This window comes from Homo sapiens, chromosome 3 (genome assembly GCF_000001405.40).
Source record: "Homo sapiens chromosome 3, GRCh38.p14 Primary Assembly".
NCBI lineage: Eukaryota > Metazoa > Chordata > Mammalia > Primates > Hominidae > Homo > Homo sapiens.
In genome coordinates this window covers 29,850,156-29,870,974 of record NC_000003.12, presented here as the reverse complement: position 1 = coordinate 29,870,974, position 20,819 = coordinate 29,850,156, and the positions used below count along the sequence as shown (strand labels likewise).

General features: G+C 36.3%; 1 protein-coding gene across 15 annotated transcripts in view, besides 1 other annotated feature; it reads right to left on the bottom strand.

Moving 5' to 3' along the window:
* The window catches only part of RBMS3 (RNA binding motif single stranded interacting protein 3), a 729,325-nt gene that overhangs the window by 139,421 nt on the left and 569,085 nt on the right, over positions 1 to 20,819 (bottom strand). For all 15 annotated transcript variants that reach the window (XM_005265061.3, XM_017006180.2, XM_017006179.2 and 12 more), the window contains one exon: positions 2,011 to 2,117. In XM_005265061.3, the coding sequence (XP_005265118.1) occupies positions 2,011 to 2,117 (107 nt within the window). The remainder of the gene's footprint in view (positions 1 to 2,010; positions 2,118 to 20,819) is intronic.
* Positions 1,868 to 2,431: an enhancer, noted in NCBI's record as "NANOG hESC enhancer chr3:29910035-29910598 (GRCh37/hg19 assembly coordinates)". NCBI's record gives its function as "activates a minimal SCP1, AML or CMV promoter by ChIP-STARR-seq in naive H9 embryonic stem cells {active_cell/tissue: H9 hESC(naive)}" and the evidence as "EXISTENCE:reporter gene assay evidence [ECO:0000049][PMID:30033119]".

Here is a 20,819-nt window from a genome sequence, read left to right as displayed (position 1 = left end):
ATTTACTTCTAAGACCACAATCAAAGTGTACAAATTAATATGTGCATCCCCAAACCAAAAAATTTGATAAGCATATTTCTAGGGCATGCTATCTCTCTGCCTAATCTATCTTCTCTCAATGTGTATATATATTTGAAATATATTTTATTGGTCACAGATAAATTTTATCATGGTCCCTTGATTTTCATAGATCAACAGGAAAATTTATAGCTCTTAAAAATCAACTTTTGAAAACAAAGATTAGGAATATACCTTTAAAACCTACGTTTAAATTATAAGGTGCTCTGGGTCCTAAACTCAACTCCACAGTGCTTCCACATCATAGTACATATAGCATTTTTCATGCTTTGAAGCAAAGTCTTAGATTCTATATACAGTAGCCAGGTGGCAGCTGTAACTCTCTACATTTTGTCTTTATTGATTCCATTTTCAAGAAATGTACAGTGAGAGGAAGTGTCTTGCTGCAATTGCCATCTATTGTATGAAGGTAATATTATAGTTCCTTAAGGAGACAGAAACTGAATCTTCTGTCATTAATGCCAAGTTGCTAATTGAGTCTTGGGGCTTTGTGATGATAGTCTGTGACCCAAAGATATCTCTAATCAGCAGGCATTTTATCCAACCAAATTTTAAAATGTCAAATGAGTCTTTTTAGATAATGGGTGTTTGGTAGGGGACATGTGATAATGAGTGCTATCAGGCATCAGTTGTCTTCTGAGGCCAATAGGGTTATCTGCTGATGCACTGGACTCCATGCTAAAAACACATGGATCACCCCCTCCACCTCCTTTTTAGAACGTAATACCCACTGCCTTTCTAAAGTTGAGAATATTAAAACTCTTTATCTTTTTTATTAGCTTTTGATGCTCAGTGATGATTCTGTTTTTCATGTCTTAATGTAATGAGTTACAGTTTATATAGTACTTGAACATAACTATAACCTTTAAGAGGGGTTTTGAGACCTGCATGGAAACACTCAAAGCAAACAATGGTCTTAGAAACAGAAACTGAAAAAAGGCTAAAGGATTTGCTGAGAAAAATTCCAGCTTCCTTTCTTCTTTACCACTGTTCTGTCAGTATTGAAAGTGTAAAATGCTACATCAAGTACAATGCTTCTTAAATGATAAATGGATGAAGTAGGTGCTTTGAATGAAATACTAAATAAAGCTCTTCTCTTGAAAGTATGGCCTTGGTACAAAATAGCATTTTTTCAAGTCATTCAAACAACTCTATTCCATTTCACAAATAATGAAAAGACCTCATGGAAGCTCAGTCACCTTTTCCTTGTCTTCTTACAAAAAAGTAACAAAAAGAACCCATTCCTAAGTGGCACTGGATCCATAAACTGGCTTTTTTACCAGTTTGTATTGAGGGTAAATGGATAGTGAGCTGTTCAGTGCTTTTCCTTCTCCTTGTGAAAAGCAAAATGCTGTATGTATCAACTTTTCTCCCTCTTTTTTGACCAAGACAATATCTTATTTTATATATGTGTGTGTGTGTGTGTATATACATATATAAACAGATATCAAAACATTTATGAACATATGGGAATATGCATAAATATACATACATGTGCAAGTAAATCATCTCAATAACAGAATGAAAAACAGCCAAATTTTGTCTGCCTGTTTCAAAACACAAACATTCAACTTTCCCTATTGATTTCACTGAAAATATTTTGTTAAGTAATTATACCCTCATTTTATAGCTATTACACAAATAGAAATCAATTCTTTGTAGATAAGTATTTCAGTGAGTTCCTTTCAGGTTTGAGTTTGGTTAAAGACAGAAGACTTGCTGTAGTGCAGAACTGAGGTTAAATTTGAAATCCTCTACTCCTCAATAATTTCATCTAGAACACATTAACATGGGTCTGCTCATTTGCCCCTTTGAAGACATTGGGTGTTCCATGGGACCCAATTTCATCATGGCACCATACGTCTGCCTTGCCACCTTCTGAGGGATATCTACTGCCAAATTTCAGAGCAAATGTTATCAGTCAGGACTCACCTCTCCTTCCCTGGGCCAAGGCCTCCCATTCTGGGTATATTTGCTTTGATTCTGTCGCTTCTTTTGTCCTCCATCAGCGAATTTGCACAGCAAAGGCTCACTGGGGGCTGGGAAGATAAGAAACCAATTCTACATTAACAACTCCCCCTTAAAAACTAAGTGATTATGTGAGTCACAGTAGTGCTTTGTAATGAGTATCTTTTGAAGTAACATCTTGCTTCTGAAGAGATATTTGGCCCCCTTTTAGTCTCAGCTCTGTTGGCCGCTGTTCTAACTAACTGGGCTTCAAAAAAGTACTGGCAGATCATAAAAGAATATAACAAATATTGTTGAAAAAATAATCAGTTGAAGCAGAATGTGAATTTGTTTTAGAAGTAAAGAGGCAAGCACCGACCCTTCCAGTAATGTCAGAAACGTGTTCATAATCGGTATTTATATGTGGATAAATATTTCTTCCTCAAAGCAACCGTGTTTGCACTGTAGAAACTGAAGGATTCAATTTTGGAAAGATGATTAGGAGCTTCTTTCTCAAAAGAGAGACATTTTGCTAACTGCAATCAAATTAGCTTTTAAAAAATTAGTCCCCTGTAATTTCTAAATGGCTAGAAGCTGATGCTCCACCCAACACTCTTCACTCCAATTTTCCAGTAAAATCTAGTCAGAATCCCAGGGAGAACAATTATTATAATGTTAAGTGAACCCACATGATAAAAATATAGCCAAAGGATATGGCTATAACTTGTGAGTCCCAGATTGCTTGATGTGGTCCTACATGACTCAGGTAAATGTATTTCCCAAGAGAAAGTGACCAAAACTGATGTCTGAACTTCTCTTCCAACAATTACATTGGAAAATGACAATCTTTTAAAACCCAACAGGGCAAAATTATTCTTTGAGAACTGATGTTCTCCTTCACATCCCTGCTTGACTGGAAAATTGCTGCTTGTTATCACAATAAATATATTTTTAAATGAATGAATAAAATGAAAGCCAAAGTGGCCTGACAAACTTTTTTAATACATTAATATGGCTGGGAAGGTTAATTTCTTAGTTTATCTGCTTGAATTAACCAAATATTAATTTGTCAGTTTACAGTCTGAAAACCAAAATGACCACCCTGCACAACTGTTACTCATTAGGAAAAGTATGTTTTACTAAAGATTAATGATACTAAAGGCCCTAATTCTTGACCAATTCCTGTGTCCTTGCCTCTTGCTATATAATATTGTGGAGCCCTCTCATTCTGACTCTAGGTCTGACCCCATGTGATTGCTTTGGCCAATGGGATGTTAGCAAATGAGACATGACCAGGAGCTTGAAATGGGTTTAAGTATTGAGAGTTGCTTCTTTTGCTCCTCTGCATGGATATGTGAACATGCCCAGGTTAGCCTGCTGGAGGATGAGATGCGAATAAAGGTACGTCATCCTTAACATGCTAACATTCCAGCCAAGGCCATACTAGATCATCCAATGCCAGCCACCACCCAGACATGTGAACCCGCACATCCAAGATCGGTAGTGGTACAGAGTTAACTTGCAGTTCACAACAGAAAAAAATATATAAGCCTAGGTGATATAAACTGAGCCCACCACACCAATGTGTAAGCTAAAGAAATCTTTATTGTTTCATGCCACTAAGATGTTACAATTGATATGTGGCATTATTGTCTTAATAGATAACTGACAACTTCCCCAACACCCATTCTCCCCCATTCCCACCCCAGCTAGATTCCTTGCATTTACTTATCTGGGTAAAGTTAAACATTTTTAAGGAATTAATGAGAATTTCAAAATTGTTTCCAAAATCAACAGTGGAAAAAGAGTACAATCAAACAGGTACCTAAAAATAAATATTTGAAAATCATTTGGCTCTAAGGGGGAGTCATATTTTGTCAAATCCTTTTAGCTCACTATTAGCAGCAACTCTGTTTATCAGTACTGGAGGGAATGACTCAAAGAGACAGGGGTCACCATTGACCAAGAGAAATAAGAAACAAAATGTCATTTCTGCCCTATACAGAGCACACAGTTCTGTATAGAGAGAGCATTCAATAAATATCATTGCCTCACTGAACACAAGTGGTTTTTCACACTGACTGCTCTGATGAGCCTCTGACTTCAGTGACTTGGGTGAAGCCAGGAAAATCACACAAGAGAGACTGCATCATGGAATATCTGTAGATAGTCACTGCCTTTATGTTAGAAGTACTGTAAATTCTGATTCCTAATTCTTTATGTTATAAGTACTGTAAATTCTGATTCCAGATGAAAAACCTAAATGCTAAATGCAATCATTGCATCCCAATATTCTCTGAGTAACATAATTTCCTGTGAGATTCCAAAACTATGTATTTATATCACATGTAAACTCATCCTGCTCTATATTTTCTCTCTTGCCATTTTAAAGATTCAGGTACATACAGGTATTAAAATGGGATGGTCATGCTGACATATGAGTTCATCACTGTCAGTGGTACAAATTTCTCACAAAAGGTAAATCTAGAAGCACCTTACATTTCTTGCTGTAAAGAAACTGGTTCCAATTTCTTGTGAGGAGGGATGGCAGCTTTGTGTGCCTCTGTTAGGTAAGAAATTTTCCTAGCAACTACATTCACAGACACACACATTACACCCACAGGTAAGTTTTTGTTGTTTGTTTTTAACAGCTTTATTGAGTCAACTGACATAAAATAAACTGTACATATTCCCAATATACAATTTGTCAGTGTTGATATATGCATATGCCTATGTGACCATCACCATTGTCAAGATAATGAACATATCCATCACCCTTAACAGTCAGAAGCTTCTTTCTACTCAAATATAGTCTTTTTTTAACCAAGGAATGTTATCCAAGAAGAGGAATTTTTTTTTTTTTTTTTTTTTTAGTATTTGGTGTTAATAATAGACTAAAGTTTATCAAGCACTTCCATTTTACATAGATCATTCATTTAATCTTTACTACAACTCTATGAGGCAACTAATATTTTTCCCTATTTTACCAGTGAAGGAAGTGAGATTCAGAATGGTTTAGTGGCTCGCTACGGGTCACACACCTGCAGTTGTAACAATACTGAATTAGAAATCAGTCTTTATCTGCTAGGTATCATCCTTGAGGAAGAAAATATCTTGTCGTACCTGTTTGCACTGTGTCCATATAAGCAGAATTGGCCCATACATAAGAACTTTTGTGTCCAGATTTATTTGTGAGTCCTACAGTCCATGCATGATGGGCCATCAGTGACCCAATATGGCATGAGATCGAACTTGATTGTCCTCTTGGATGTCTAATTCATAGGTGAGGAGCATGTTTTCACTCCCTTCCTTAGTTCCCATACCAGTTTTCCCTTAATATCATAAGGCTTCTGTTAATGTCAGATTTATATTTAAAAAGAGACCAACTTGCTTATTTTGTTCTTAAAACCTTCTCTGATAATTTCCAGATTTTTATTCTGCCTTACGGCTGTAAGAACACATTGACCAGTGGCTACAGAAAATTCTGGGTTTCTTTTCCAAGTTGTAAATGGTAATCTATTTTTATTTAAGTTTTACCTTTTATACGTCTTTGGGTAATGGCTTTTATGAAACATATTTCTACTCTTTGAAGCAGGGTTGTTTATGGTCCCCTAACAATGGTTCTTATAAGGTTTATAGGATAGTCCCTGGTTCTAATAGTCTAGAGTATGACTTCTCTTTAGGTAGTTTCTATAGGCTCATATTTCCATAGGCTTTAACACATACTTTGGGGGCACTTAATTGTTAAGGGTGCCAGCTTCCTGGGTTTGAAGTCTGGCTCCCTTACTTGCTAGCTACAAAATACTAGGCAAATTTCCTTCCTTCCTTCCTTCCTTCCTTCCTCCCTCCCTCCCTCCCTTCCTTTCTTCCTTCCTTCGTCTCTCTCTTCCTTCCTTCCTTCCCTCCTTCCTCCCTCCCTCCTTCTCCTTCCCCTTCCCCTTCCTTTCCCTTCCCTTCCTTCCTTCCTCCCTCCCTCCCTTCCTTCCTTTCTTCCTTCCTTCCCTCCTTCCTCTCTCTCTCTTCCTTCCTTCCTCTCTCTCTCTTCCTCCTTCCTTCCCTCCTTCCTCCCTCCCTCCTTCTCTTCCCCTTCCCCTTCCCTTTCCCTTCCCTTCCCTTCCCTTCCCTTCCTTCCTTCCTTTCTTTTACATTTCTGTGACTCATTTTTCTTATGTATAAAATGGGGAAATAATGTTAAATACTTCATAGAGCTATTGTGAAAGTTTTTTTTAAAGAATGTATTATATCTAAATAAATACTGAATCTGTTTGCTGCAAAGATTATTACTGATTAGAATCTCTGTCAGCCACTTCCCAGTTCCCAACTGTGAAACCCGGTCATGTGTCAGTGTCAGAGAGTTTGGAACGTTTAAGCTTTATTTTCATCAGTTCTGTTCCATTTTAACTCCATAGAGGCTTCGTCAACATACAGAACTTGCAACTATCTTCAACAACAACAACAACAAAAAGATGTGTTGATGGAAAAGATCTGTGTTTCTAAAATGGTTCTTGTTTGCTATAGCTTGTCATTGGGTCATCTGGCCACTACAGCACTAGGTCCCTTTCCTGAGTCATTGCCAGAATTTGGCTTTCATTATCTCCTAGGTATGATGCATGTTATGTTATTATTATCTGCGTTAACCTCCAATTGCCTATGATGAATGCTCTCTGTTCCTTTGCTGTTGTTTCTGATCATTAGTACTATTACTATTACCTTGCCACTCAATTGCAAAAGTTCTGCTGGCAGTTTAAATCCATCAGGGTTGTATTTTACTACTAGAAAAACTATTGAGCCATCTACATAGTAATAGATTTCACTGGGGTTTCCCTTTTCCAGATCCCATATTAAAATGTTAAATAATTACTGTTGCTAAAGCTAAGTTCCAGAAAATCTTTCCTCATTAAAAGAGACCATCTCTACCTTTTGTTACCTCTCCCTAAAACAATTACGTATCTATAATTACATTCCAAAAAGGCAGGTCTTTCCCAATTCCCTTATTTAAACATTTGTATTAAATAAATAAAATAAAATTCTCTAAATGAGTTATTTACACTAATATTTCTTCTACCGACTGGCATAAAAACATTTAGCAGAGGTATCCCTTAAACAAATATTACCAAATAACAATGTTCTAGATTGCCAAGGATCAAATATATAAAGAGTATGAGATTCTGGATTTTAAGCCTACCTTAACATTTTCCCTTATTGTAAAGAGAACTTTCAAATAGTTGTTTTTAACACTAAGAGAAAATTTAAAAGTCATAGGGTGAGATTTTCTTAGCTTTCAACTAAGATCTCTTTGTGCACTGTCTTCATAAATTTTACAATTTTTTTAAAGGTCTAAAAATTTAGCCACCCTGATATTTGGGGGATCTGTATAAGCAGTTAGGCTATGAATATTGATAATGACCTATTTATATTTACTGACATTGCTAAGTTAAAACATCTGATTCTATTAATTTTAAGATGATTATATACTGTTAATTTTAAGATGATTATAATGGAAGACAGATACAGCCACAATGTTTTACTAGATACATTTAAAAAAATTCCAGAAATACATTTTCTTTTTATTATTATACTTTAAGTTCTAGGGTACATGTGCACAATGTGCAGGTTTGTTACATATGTATACATATGTATACATGTGCCATGTTGGTGTGCTGCACCCATTAACTCGTCATTTACATTAGGTGTATCTCCTAATGCTATCCCTCCCCCTCTCCCCCCACCCCACAACAGGCTCCGGTGTTTGATGTTCCCCTTCCTGTGTCCAAGTACATTTTCAAATGTGCTATTTCAAAAACAATGAATATATTTCCATATTATCCTTAAATTTCAGGAGTCAAATTCAGATTAATTTCCTAAAGAGAAATATTTCATTGAGAGTGGCAGAGAAAACATTAGTAGAATAGGTGAACTAAAATTCACATAATCGTCTTGTTCTTAGGTAATTCCTAAATACCTTTAAGATAAAATCCAAATTCTTTGATTAGAAAATAAGAATTTTTCCCCTTCATCATATCTTTATTAGTATCCTTCCATCCCTGAATAGTTTACACTCTGTCACTTCCTTTTTTTTTTTTTTCTTTTTTCTTTTTTGAGACAGAGACTTGCTCTGTCTCCCAGGCTGGAGTGCAGTGGCTTGATCTTGGATCTCAGCTCACTTCAGCCTGCGCCTCCTGGGTTCAAGTGATTCTCCTGCCTCATCCTCCTGAGTATCTGGGACTATAGGCACACGCCGCCACACTTAGCTAATTTCACTCTCGTCACTTCTAAGGGCAGTTCCTCCCTGCCTGGAATTTCTTTTCCGAACTGCCCCCACCACACATGCACACACACACCCCTCCATCTGGCAAATGACAAGGAAGCCCTCTTTGACTCCCAGCTCAGAGTGATATTATCTAGTGTGTATTTGGCCAGCTTTCACAGGTTGAATGCTGTTTCTCTTTGTGTTAAATAAATCCTTTGACAGGATTAATTTATTTCTAGGTCTGAGGGTAGAAACTGATCATAGGAGAGGTTGGAGTGAAGTTTGCCGTGTGTATGTATGTGTGCAATGTGTATGTGTGTGTGCACACTTAACAGCATTTTGCACTTAGTTATAGATAATACATGAAAGTGATGTTACTCACAGTAAGGTCAATGAACCCAGCAGCACTGGACTCATCACCTGGGAGCTTGTTAGAAATGTAGACTCTTGGGCCCGTTTCCAGACCAACTATATCAAAATCTATATTTTAACCAGATCCCCAGGTGATTTCTGTGTATGTTAAGATTTGAGAAGAACTGTTTTGGTTATGACTGGCTCCATAACTGAAAGAGGAATGCATATTAAATGTTAAACATGAAATACTCTGAATAATTAGAGACTTCAGTAGCACAGAAATAGTATATTGCTTACAATTTCCTTACTGTAGGATTATGGTGCCAATTACTTTCATGTAGTCTCTTTTAACAGTAGTTAAAATAGAGACTAAATGAAGAAGAGGTCTTTGTGGAAGTGGGATGCCATTATAAGCCACAGACTTTAATGTGCTAGAAGACATTATGGTCTATGATGCAAATGGGGAGTATTTAAAATATAATTATAACAACACATGGCAATAAAGTTGCACAGTAATTATAAAGGAGTAATTACTGTTTGCTTGCTTAGTGGAGTATTTCTAGTCTTCCAAACTTTGTATTAAACATGCAACATACAATGCATAAACTGATATAATGATCAGATGGCTTATAGGATTTGGTGTTTTAAGCAAGCAAACAAAACAATGACAAAGATTTTGCTTATCAAAATTAAGGTATGAGAATGTATTTTGATTTTCTGTTTACAATTTAAAATACGTGCAGTTTGATAAGTCACTAAAATGTTCTTTAATATGCTATTGATGAGAAGATATTGACATCTAAGATATCGACAGCAGAATTCCTGCTTTCCTTACAGAAGCTGACCACTTTTAATTTTAACATTCAATTTATTTAAGTTATTCTAGTGTTTGTATTGGACTGTGGTGATGGTTTTAAATATTTCTTTATTGCTATAACATTACTGGTCTGGTACTTTAACTCTTAAATTTAAAAATTCCTCATTTCAGATAGGTTCCAAATCTTCAGGAAAAAATAAGAGTGGGAGGAGCTGGATGGAGAAGAAAAGCTAACGACAACAGAAGCAGTTTATTCAAGGTGAGTTTATAAAATCTTAGTATAAGAGTAGACAAAATAAAGGACTTTAAAAAAGAATCTCAAAAACTAAAAGTTAAAATGTTATAAATTTTTGATCCAGGAGCTACCTTTAAAGAAAAATTTTGAGGTTGTAAATTATTTCTCAATTGAAAAAATGAAACAAATGATCACGAGGTCAGAAGATCGAGAACATCCTGGCTAACACGGTGAAACCCCGTCTCTACTAAAAATACAAAAAATTAGCCGGGCGTGGTGGCGGGCGCCTGTAGTTGCAGCTACTCGGGAGGCTGAGGCAGGAGAATGGCGTGAACCGGGGAGGCGGAGCTCACTGCAAGAGAGCTCACTGCATTCCAGCCTGGGCAACAGAGCGAGGCTCTGCCTCAAAAAAAGAAAAGAAAAGAAACAAATGAAACCTCCTTCCTAAACTATTCGTGTGATATTCTGGGTGACTTGTACATTAAAAAGCTGTTCATACTAATGGATGAAAACATGATACTAATAGAAGGATGATAATGAAACTCAGGAGCATTTTAACACAGTCCATCTTTTATTTATTTTTTGACCCACATGTATTCAATACCAACTAATACTGGCACTACTCTAAACTTTGCTCCTGGCAAAGTGGTCACAGTCTAGAAGGGGAGAAAGCCAAGTAAAAGGAAAACTCAAGATTACAATGGCTGCTATAATAGAGACATAGATAGGCATTCGTAGAGCATGGAATGGATGTCAACCTCCAGCACTACAGTCATAGAATGTCCTTTAGCTTAGAAATCACATCCAATTCCACAGAGTTTTAAAACAATGGTTTGCATATATGCCCCACCTCCCACCCCATGCCAACTGCCAAATTATGAACTAGCACATGGAAAACAAGTCAACGGTCACTTACTCTGGATAAAAACAAGTTTTAATCAAATGTTTGTTAAATGAAAATATAAATTAGGAAAGTGGATGCAATGCTAAGATTTAGTCAAAATGCTTTAAGAACGTCTGGGGCCATCTAGACCTGATGTTGAGAACTGGTAGCCTTGCAACAAAAACTTAGAACTGCTTTTGTACTTGCTCCAACACTCCACAGTCCTTCCAAATGCAGACAGAAGTAGTTTATACTGATTTGGAACAAAAAATATTTATGGAAAAATGCTAGAAATAAGTGTCTGAAGCTAACTGTATGCTGGAACCCATGCCTTTAATCATTTTCACTTATCCCAAAACACTATTTTGTTTGTCATATCCAGGAAGGTCTTGCAGAATAAGTCCTCTGAAATGTTTGCAAAAGGTTTTGTTAGGAAACGTCCACTTTCTTTTCCACATGTGCCCTATGCATGATAGACTTCTGATGCCTACCAGAGTGTGTATGTGTGTATGTGTGTGTGTGTGTGCCCCCATGCATATGTGTGTATGTATGTATGTATTTCTAGATATAGAGCTGGCAAGCTTTCAATTTCAACCACAATTTACATGGCAAAAATTACTTGAAGGTTACAACACAGAATTATTATATTTTGGAGTTAGAAAACCTGCATATGGCAAAGGAAGCTATTTGGTTACATTTTCTTTTGACTCTTAGCATCCTGTTTAGTATTTAATTATGTTTTGTGTACAATAACAAGCAAGGCGTAGCTAGGTATGTAATTCTTAGTTGTAATAAAATCCCATGCTGAATGGCGTATAGATCCTGTCTGCCATATAACTATACAATTTTCTTAATTCAAACTCTTGATTTTGTCAGTAAGGAAAATAAAAATAAAAGTTTAACGAATTGCTTGCTAATTTGTGGTAGTTGGTGGCAAAGTTACAATCAGTTCTTTTGATATCTAAGTGAACGCTTTCTCCAACTGCTTACTTTCTACCCTCTTTACCATCAGCAGGAATAGGGAATGAAGTTTGAGCAGTTCTTATGACTGACTTTATCATTTTGGAATGGGGCAAAAAGATTGAGTACTCACAAAAATATAATTACAGTGGTTCTCTGGGCCAGGTTAGAATTAAAACCGAAAGCTAGGAAACCAGTTAGTTCTCCTAAAAGAATGTATGCTGCCCCTCTAATAATGGCTTGTTTTAAAATAATAAACAAATCACCTGGATTATATTTATAAGTGTCAGGCTCATGTTTACGCCTATCCTTTAGGCCAAAAACTGGTGAGGGAATATACACTAAAAAGAGGAAATAAATAAAAAATAGCATACGTTGAAAAAATGTAATTTTCATGCACATGCCTAATTTTATCCCTCAGTAATGGATTACTGCTTATATTTGGTTTTATATATAATTCTGTGCTATGTGAAATAGCCTTACAAGAAAGAAAATGCCCCACAGTGACGATAAAAGCAGAGAACAGCTATTTGACTAGAAACAACATAGAGGAAATCACCTTTTGACAAATTGTATTACGGCCTAAATAGTGATCTCAAGATCTCCTCTCTGTTTTAAAGATTAAAACACCATCATTTAAAAAAATTGTAACAATTCTCTGATAATTCCTTCCCTATATAAAAAGATGGTTCTAAAAGGAACAACCATGCCCCATAAGGGGAATAATGTAACGCTATTGTTTCAAGTGGAAAAAGTTAATGTTTCAAGTAGACGGGACATAAAGTTTTCACTGACAGTTAAATTTAGTTCACTTTTTGGGGAAAAGGCTGGAACATTATTGGTGCTGAATGAAGGCAATGTTTTGACACCAAGAAATTGGAAAGTACCAGCACTTCCAAGAAATATCAGTTGGTTGATGTAGCAACAGACTAGCGAAACTTGTGTGGCTAAAAGGCAAAGCACCAAGGAAAAAGTTACTAAGATGAAGCACCTTTGAAATTAGAAGAATCTTATTTATTGACCAGGATGAACTGTTTCTGATCCTGCCTCATTCCTCCCTCCTCCTTGGCTCCAGAGTATTGCACTTTCCTCTGAGACAGCTCTTTGCATACTGTATTTTATATTTATAGATTACTATGTACTACATATAAGATGAAATTTTTTATTAGAAAGAGGTACAAGGAAGAAAAATATCACTATAATCTTACAGTGCAGATACCCCTTTGATATTAAAAATGAATTAAAAAATGGAAAAAGGACATGTAAAAAATTAGTAAATTCAAACTATAGAAAGGTTAAAAATAAAAATACCTCTTTTAAATCCACCACTTTTTATGATTTCTTTCAAAAATGCATAACTATATACATCTACCAATTTGTTTATTTAGTTCTTTTTCTTAATTTCAAAGATGGTAGTTTTGCTTAGTATGTTGGTTTTGTTTGTTTACCTTAATTATATATGAAGAATTTTCCATATTAGCACACATAAATGAAATGCTGCTTAGTATTGTGGCATAATTATGATGTATCATAATTTATAGATGTTCATCAATAGGGGATGAGCTAAATGTCATTAACTTTCCATAATGCATTCCCATGTTCCTCTCCACTACTATGAGAATTTGATTTGATTGAGGTCAGGATGTCTACAGCCATACCACCCTGAACGCGCCCGATCTCGTCTGATTGAGGTCAGGAGCTGGGCCCTATTCACCATTGCCTAGTGTCTACCTCACTGGTCCTGCAGAGTGGCTGAGGGTAATACACATGTCAATATCCTGTGATCAAATTATTAAATAAATGTAGACAGACAAAATAACTTCTTAATATTACTTCTATAATGAAATGTAGTTGGAGAGCAGGGGCACAACCTTTTTTTTTTTTTTTTTAACAAAAAAAGCATAGAGTCCCCACATTTCCACAAGTAAATATAATTAGCCAACCTACTTGAAAAAGAAAAAAAAGTAATAACAAGAAAGAATTCCAAGTCATAATCCCAGGTGTAACTCTGATTTCAAGTGAAACTCATGTTAACCACCCTAGGAAAAAACAAATCGGGGCCCCGTGGGGGTGGGGGTGGGGGTAGATAGGGAGGAATCTTTTAATGTAAAACATCAGGATCCTTTCTAGTAGAGCATTCACTTAGGATTCTCCAACAAGGAAGCAAATACATACGCACCCTTAGACTGAACTCCAACTCAGGTCAAGAAAACACATCTCAATTTCCTTCATGCTGTTCCTAAGCATATATTTCCTGTGCTAGAGGCTGAAAGAATTCCCAGGATGCAGTGAACTCAGTTAGTAGAAATAAATACAATTCTGGTTTCAAAGTGAAAGCTCTATGTTACAATGCAGGTATGAGTTAACAAGGCTGGAGGCATCAGCTAGAATGAAAACCTTGCTTTCAGTAGGTAAAAGATTTACAGGTGTAATGACCTGAGATGGTATTTTTTCTAATTCAAGAGTCAAGGTACTGAAATTGTGACAATTTGAAGAGTGCTGTCATGTAAGTTGAATCACATACTAATCAATACAATATAAATTTAATCCAGGTCCTAGAAACTGAGTTTTTCAAGGAGATGTTAAAGACCATTTGTGCTGTAAACATCTATGGATAAATCAATCTAAGCAATCATAAAAATAAATAAATAACTTGGCAACGACGTCGCCTATGAAGATGTTTAGTGTAAAAACAATGCATAGAAATGACTATAAAATACAATACCCACCCTTCTGTGCTATAGAAACAAAGTGATAAACTAGTTTAGTGCTAGACTACCCCAGGAGAAGGTTGAATAGCTGTCCAGAAATTCATATTTTTCTTAGATAGGTACCAATTTTTCCACTGGGAGTGAGCACTAAAGGTATCTTATATGGATTCAAATTGTCAATAGACCTTTCTAAAGTGTAAATTTTACTTTAATCACCCACATGCCCACCTATCGGATAACGTCCAAACTCCTTAACACAAAAGGCCATCCAATGTCATGATCTAAATGTGTGCATCTCACTTTCCACATACAGTACTTCTCAAAAAGGGCTGAGACCTTTCACAATCTCCCAGATCTGCTTACGCTGCTCCTTCTTTCTGAACTGGCTTCTCTCTTTTCCTGCTTAATCACTTTCATAAAATATTTCCTGACCGCTTTTCCCACCCCACCAAATTCCCATAAAATAACTTATTATTAATTAATTTTTAATACATTCATTCAACTTATTTATTCACCCTTGCCTGAAATTCATTCAAAATTCATTGGGAACATGGGGCTATATATCAGGTGTTGTGCTATTCATGAAAGACTAAGTAATGAATAAAATAGAAAAAGTCCTAGTTCTTAAAGAATATTCTTTCTGATAGCAAAGCAGACATTAAATATTTTTTAAATTATAAATCAATTTCATTTATTCTTGTGTGAGTCTATTATATACACTTCTAATTTGGTATCTGTGGAACACCTCAGCTCACTCATTTATTTATATGCCTTTTTTTAACAATTTAAATGTCTCTCGAGTATAGGGTCTCTGCATTATTTATCTTTGTATCCCCCAAGTATAATGTAGTTCCTAGAATGCAGTAGATTATACACATACATGCACACATGCATGCACCTGCACAATTTTAGCAAGCTTATGTATTTTCCAGCGTGGAAGGCACCCTGACAACTGTCCTATGGCTCCACAACAGCAAAGCACCCTCTCAGCTGAATAAGCCAAGATTGAACTTAATTCAGTCCGACATTGGATATATCTGTCAGGCTTTTAAAATATCTGCATAAAGAGTCTCTAAATTTCTTAATAAAGCATTTAATATTTAATAAGTCTCTCAGGAAGGCTTTCTTACCTAAAATAGGCACTGGAAATCTTTCCCCTATTTTCTAAAAGATCATTGCAAATTTGGCTAGTCACAAGTTGTACATATTCTAAATATAGTAATTGCAGCTTGGCAGCATATTCATTTTTTTACCTAAAAATAATCATAATCAAAGAAGTAAATATTTTGTATTGAACATAATGTGTATTTTTGGCATATAATGATTAGATATAAAACATGTAGAAGCAATTAAATTTAACCATCTAGGAATCTGTAAAAGCTTTCCTTATAGGAAAAAGTCATATTTGATGTAGTTTTCACAAATTAAGGATAGTCAAGGATTTGATATATATGATCTTTTTACTGATAATAGACTTAATTTTCACAACTCAGTTTCACCACTTACTCATTGTAAAAGCGGACCAGCAATGTAAAATTTCCCTAACTAACAGAATTATATGACCTTACACTGAACACTCAATCCCAAATCTGGCATAGAGTAGCATGTAGTAAATATCTGTTGAATGAATAAAAGATTGGGAGTAACTTGCAGCATTATGTAAGGTAAACAGGGGAATAACTTTTATGAACCATGGAAAGACACAAAACAAATGTTAGATATTATTAACATTATTGAGGCACATGCAAAAATTATTATTTTTAGGGCCATTTTCCTGGAGCTATGCCTCTCATTTTATTTCCAGCATAGAAATAGTACAGTCAATTGCAGGCATCACAGTGATGCATTTTAGAATTGAAGAGAGTTCAAAGGCTCTATTTTGGACTATAAAACTTAAACTGGTAAGAAGGAGAGCTTTCTTTTTATATGAATTATGATCTGTTTAACAAGGGTTGACTTTGTGAAAGGACCTAAATATGCTACATTACTATAAAGCTCTCTCATTTGTTTCACTCTTGTAGACAATGCCCATGAGAGACCCTGTCAAATTTGCCAGGTAATACAAAGGGCAAAGTAAAACCATTCTTTACTTTTTCCATTTTGGATTATCTCGAAGAAAGTTAGCTAACAATCAAGTCAACCTTCCTTTCTCTACGACCATGAAATGAAACAATTCTCCAACCAGAGTTGGTGAACTGTTCCTAATTTAGTAACGGACATATCCTGAGACCTTTAGCGGAGTAGAGAGAAGGTCTCCTGAAGGTGTCTCAAATCTAGAATTAATTACCTGGTTCCTCACATGAGAATTTGATTCTGAAGAAACTGGCTTTATGTGGACAGGAGGAAGAACCCCTTTCCTTTTTCAAAATTTGAGAACAGATGTGCCAGATTTGCCCCTGCTTGTTATATATACAAATAGTTAGAAAGTAAATTGTAAGAGGCCTAGCCTCTAGGATTTGACATCGGGGACAGGCCCGGAAACACAACATGGCAGCACACTGTGGCTGGGGTGGAGGCCGACCTCAGTGCTGGCTGCTGCAGGGACGCGGGGAGGGACGCCCTTCTCAGCCTGGAGCTGGGAGGAGGCTGGGGAGCAGTGCCAGGAAAGGTGTCCCTGGGGATGAGAACTTCTGTTTCTATTCCAGATTCCCAGACTCACAGCACAGAGGGGATGCTTTGTTCTCACGACTTTTTGACACTTTCAAAAAACAAACAAACAAACAAAACAGTATGGTCTCTGGAAGAAGTGGAGGAGTGACTCATAAGTGTCTCCCTTCTGCCAGTCTCTAGGCACCTGGGGCTACCAGAATGCTTCTGCCCTGGGCTTTGAGGGAAGCTGATCACCCAGGTCTCCCTGGCAGGAACTAGCAAGTAGGGGCAGGTTTCAGGGGGTGGAGACCCCAAAGATAACCTTGGTCTCAACCTTGATGCTGTTTAGAACCACCCAAAGAGCCAAAGCTCCCAGGTGATGAGAGACAGGACTAGCTGGATTTCCTAGGCTGACTAAGAATCCCTAAGCCTGGCTGGGAAGGTGACCACATCCACCTCTAAACACGGGGCTTGTAACTTAGCTTACACCCGACCAATCAGGTAGTAAAGAGAGCTCATTAAAATGCTAATTAGGGAAAAACAGGAAGTAAAGAAGTAGCCAATCATCTGTCGCCTGAGAGCACAGGGGGAGGGACAATGATCAGGATATAAACCCAGTCATTCCAGCTGGCAACGGCTACCCACTTTGGGTCCTCTCCCTTTGTATGGGAGCTCTGTTTTCACTCTATTAAATCTTGCAACTGCAAAAAAAAAAAAAAAAAAAAAAGAAAGTAAATTGTAGCTTAAGATACAATATGAATTTTAATTTCTAAAAAGCAGATGAACTTGTTAAAGGAAAATTACATAGTTACCAATTTTAAGTTTTTTAAATTTAATTTTTATTTTAAGGTCAGGGGTACATGTGCAGCTTTGTTACATAGGTAAACTTGTGTCATGGGGGTTGGTTGTGCAGATTATTTCATCATCCAGGTATTAAGCCTAGTAGCCATTAGTTATTTTTCCTAATCCTCTCCCTCCTCCCACCCTCCACTCTCTGAGAGGCCACAGTGTGTTGTTCCTCTCTATGTGTCCATGTGTTCTTATCATTTAGCCCCCACTTATAAGTGAGAACATGTGGTATTTGATTTTCTGTTCCTGCATTACTTTTCTAAGGATAATAACCTCCAGCTCCATCCATGTTCCTGAAAAGGACATGATCTTTTCTTGTTTATGGCTGCATAGTATTCCATGATGTATCTGTACCACATTTTTGTTATCTAATCTGTCATTGATGGGCATTTAGGTTGATTCCATGACTTTGCTATTTTGAATAGTGCTGCAATGAACATACAAATTCATGCTTCTTTATAATAGAACAATTTATACTCCTTTGGGTATATACCTAGGAATGGGATTGCTGGGTTGAATGGTATTTCTATTCGTAGGTCTTTGAAGAATTGCCACACTGTTTTCCACAATAGTTGAACTAACTTACACTCCTACCAACAGTTTATGTGTTCCCTTTTCTCTGCCACCTTGCCAGCATCTGCTGTATTTTGACTTTTTAGTAATGGCCATTCTGACTGGTGTGAGATAATATCTCATTGTGGTTTTAATTTGCATTTCTCTAAAGATCAGTGATGATGAGCTTTTTTTCATATGTTTGAATTGGCTAGATGTATGTCTTCTTTTGAAAAGGATCTATTCATGTCCTTTGCCCACTTGTTAATGGGGTTGTTTTAGTCTTGTAAATTTGTTTAAGTTTCTTAAAGATGCTCAATATTAGACCTTTGTCAGATGCACAGTTTATAATATTTTCTCCTATTCTGTAGGTTGTCTGTTTACTCTGTTGATTGTCTCTTTTGCTGGGCAGAAGCTCTTAATTTTAAATTAGATCCCATTTGTCAACTTTTGCTTTTGTTGCAATTGCTTTTAGCATCTTCATCATGAAATCTTTGCCCATTCCTATTTCCACAATGGCATTTCCTAGGTTGTCTTCGAGGTTGTACCTTTAAGTCTTTAATCCATCTGGAGTTAATTTTTGTATATGGTGTAAGGAAGGGGTTCAGTTTCAATTTTCTGCATACGGCTAAGCTAGTTATCAAAACATCATTTATTGAATAGGGAGTCCTTTTCCCATTGCTTGTTTTTGTCAGCTTTGTTGAAGATTAGATAGTTGTAAGTGTGTGGCCTTATTTCTGGACTCTGTTCTGTCCCATTGGCCTATGTGTCTGTTTTTGTACCAGTACCATGCTGTTTTGGTTACTGTAGCTATGTAGTATAGTTTGAAGTCAGGTAGTATGATTCCTCCACTTTGTTCTTTTTGCTTAGGATTGTCTTGGCTATTCGTGTTCTTTTTTAGTTACACATGCATCTTAAAATAGTTTTTTCTAGTTCTGTTCCTCACAGGAAAATTTAATTCTAAGGAAACTGGCTTTATGTGGTCAGGAGGGAGAATCCCCTGCCTTTTTCAAAATATTAGAACAGATTTACCAGAATGTGGCCCTGCTTGGTATATATAAAAATAGAAAGTAAATTGCAATTTAAGATCTGATATGAATTATAAATTCTAAGAAGCAGATTAACTTTTAAAAGGCAAATTGCATAGTTATCAATTTTTAAATGAAGCTTCCTTCATGTTTGATATTGTGGTAGATGCTTTAATGTGTTCACTTTTATTCCACCAAACTACCTGTTTTTGAGTTGAAACCCCTTTTGAGATGGAAAAAGTCCTAAAGATGAGAGAGTTTAAGTAAATTAAGTATACCCAGCTAATAAGTGTCAGAACCAGTATATAATCCCGGGTCTTGATATTCCATAGTTCATTCCATACTGTTTCCTGGATCAAACGATCCCCACCTCCTTATTTACCAGAATCTTCAGTGATTGCAGCCTGTGCTCAACAGTAACAGAAGAACATTCATTCATTCACAACTATTGAGCACTTACTATGTTCCAGGCATTATTCTAAATCCCATATAACTAGACTAAGGAATGTTGCTGTCATGGAAATTATACTTTAGTAAAAGGGACAGCCAAAAGACAAGTAAACATATAAATAAAACTTCAATTGTGAAGTGCTAAAAAAAGATAAGGTAATGTAAGGAGCAGAGACTGACAGAAGAGGAAGTAATAGATGCAGTAATCTGGAAAGATCTCAGTGAAGTTCTAAAAGAAAGGAGGGAGCAATCTTTGGAAATATGAGGAAGAAAAGTGTTGTAGGCAAAAGGTTAGAAGTACAAAATGTCTTGAGGTTAGTGTGTACTCAGCTCTTTGGAAAAATGGCAATGAATGAAAAAGGGGGAGGGTGATGGGAGAGGAGACCAGTGAACTAGTAGGGATCCTTTCTCGATCCCTTTCCTGCTAGAGTGACAGCGACCTCTAAAGGCTAGCAGGATGCCTGAGGAGAAAGGTGCAACTCAAGGGATGAGAATCAGAATTCAAGGTCTAGCTGTTCCTAATCAAACAGAGGTACTTCCATTACCAAACCTAAAGATCTGGGTTTTATTTGTTTGTAAAGATAGCAAATCCCTACATGTTTTCATATTTAAAAGAGGATGTTGGAGGAGAGATAATCTAAGATCCTTCATTCTAAGAATCAATAAACATTATCCTTACACATGTAGCTCCCAATTTCCTAGCGAAAATGGAGAACAGGATAGAAATTTCCTTCAATTATACTCAAAGGAGCCCAAAAAACTAAAAAAACATGTAATTTCAAAAAATATCAGAGTCTCAGTGGAAGAAGGGATGACAGTAGGAAAATAAAGAGATTCTTTTGTGGGCATTCTTTCTTGTAACTTCAGTGAATATTAATGAAGTAGATTGAATATATTGAAGGTTATGTAACCTCAATAAAGATGGCCTCCTTCATGGTCCTGTCTCATCAAGAAGTCAAGTATAAAGAGAAACAATTAAGAAGCATTAAAAAGTTATTCAGTCTACCCTAGGAGCTTAAAGAAACTAACAGAACAGCAAGAAGTTCCCATTAATAAGCTCTTTTCTCTCTGTGTTTTTCACTTTTTCTGCGTATCCCCTCCTCCCCAGGATTACTT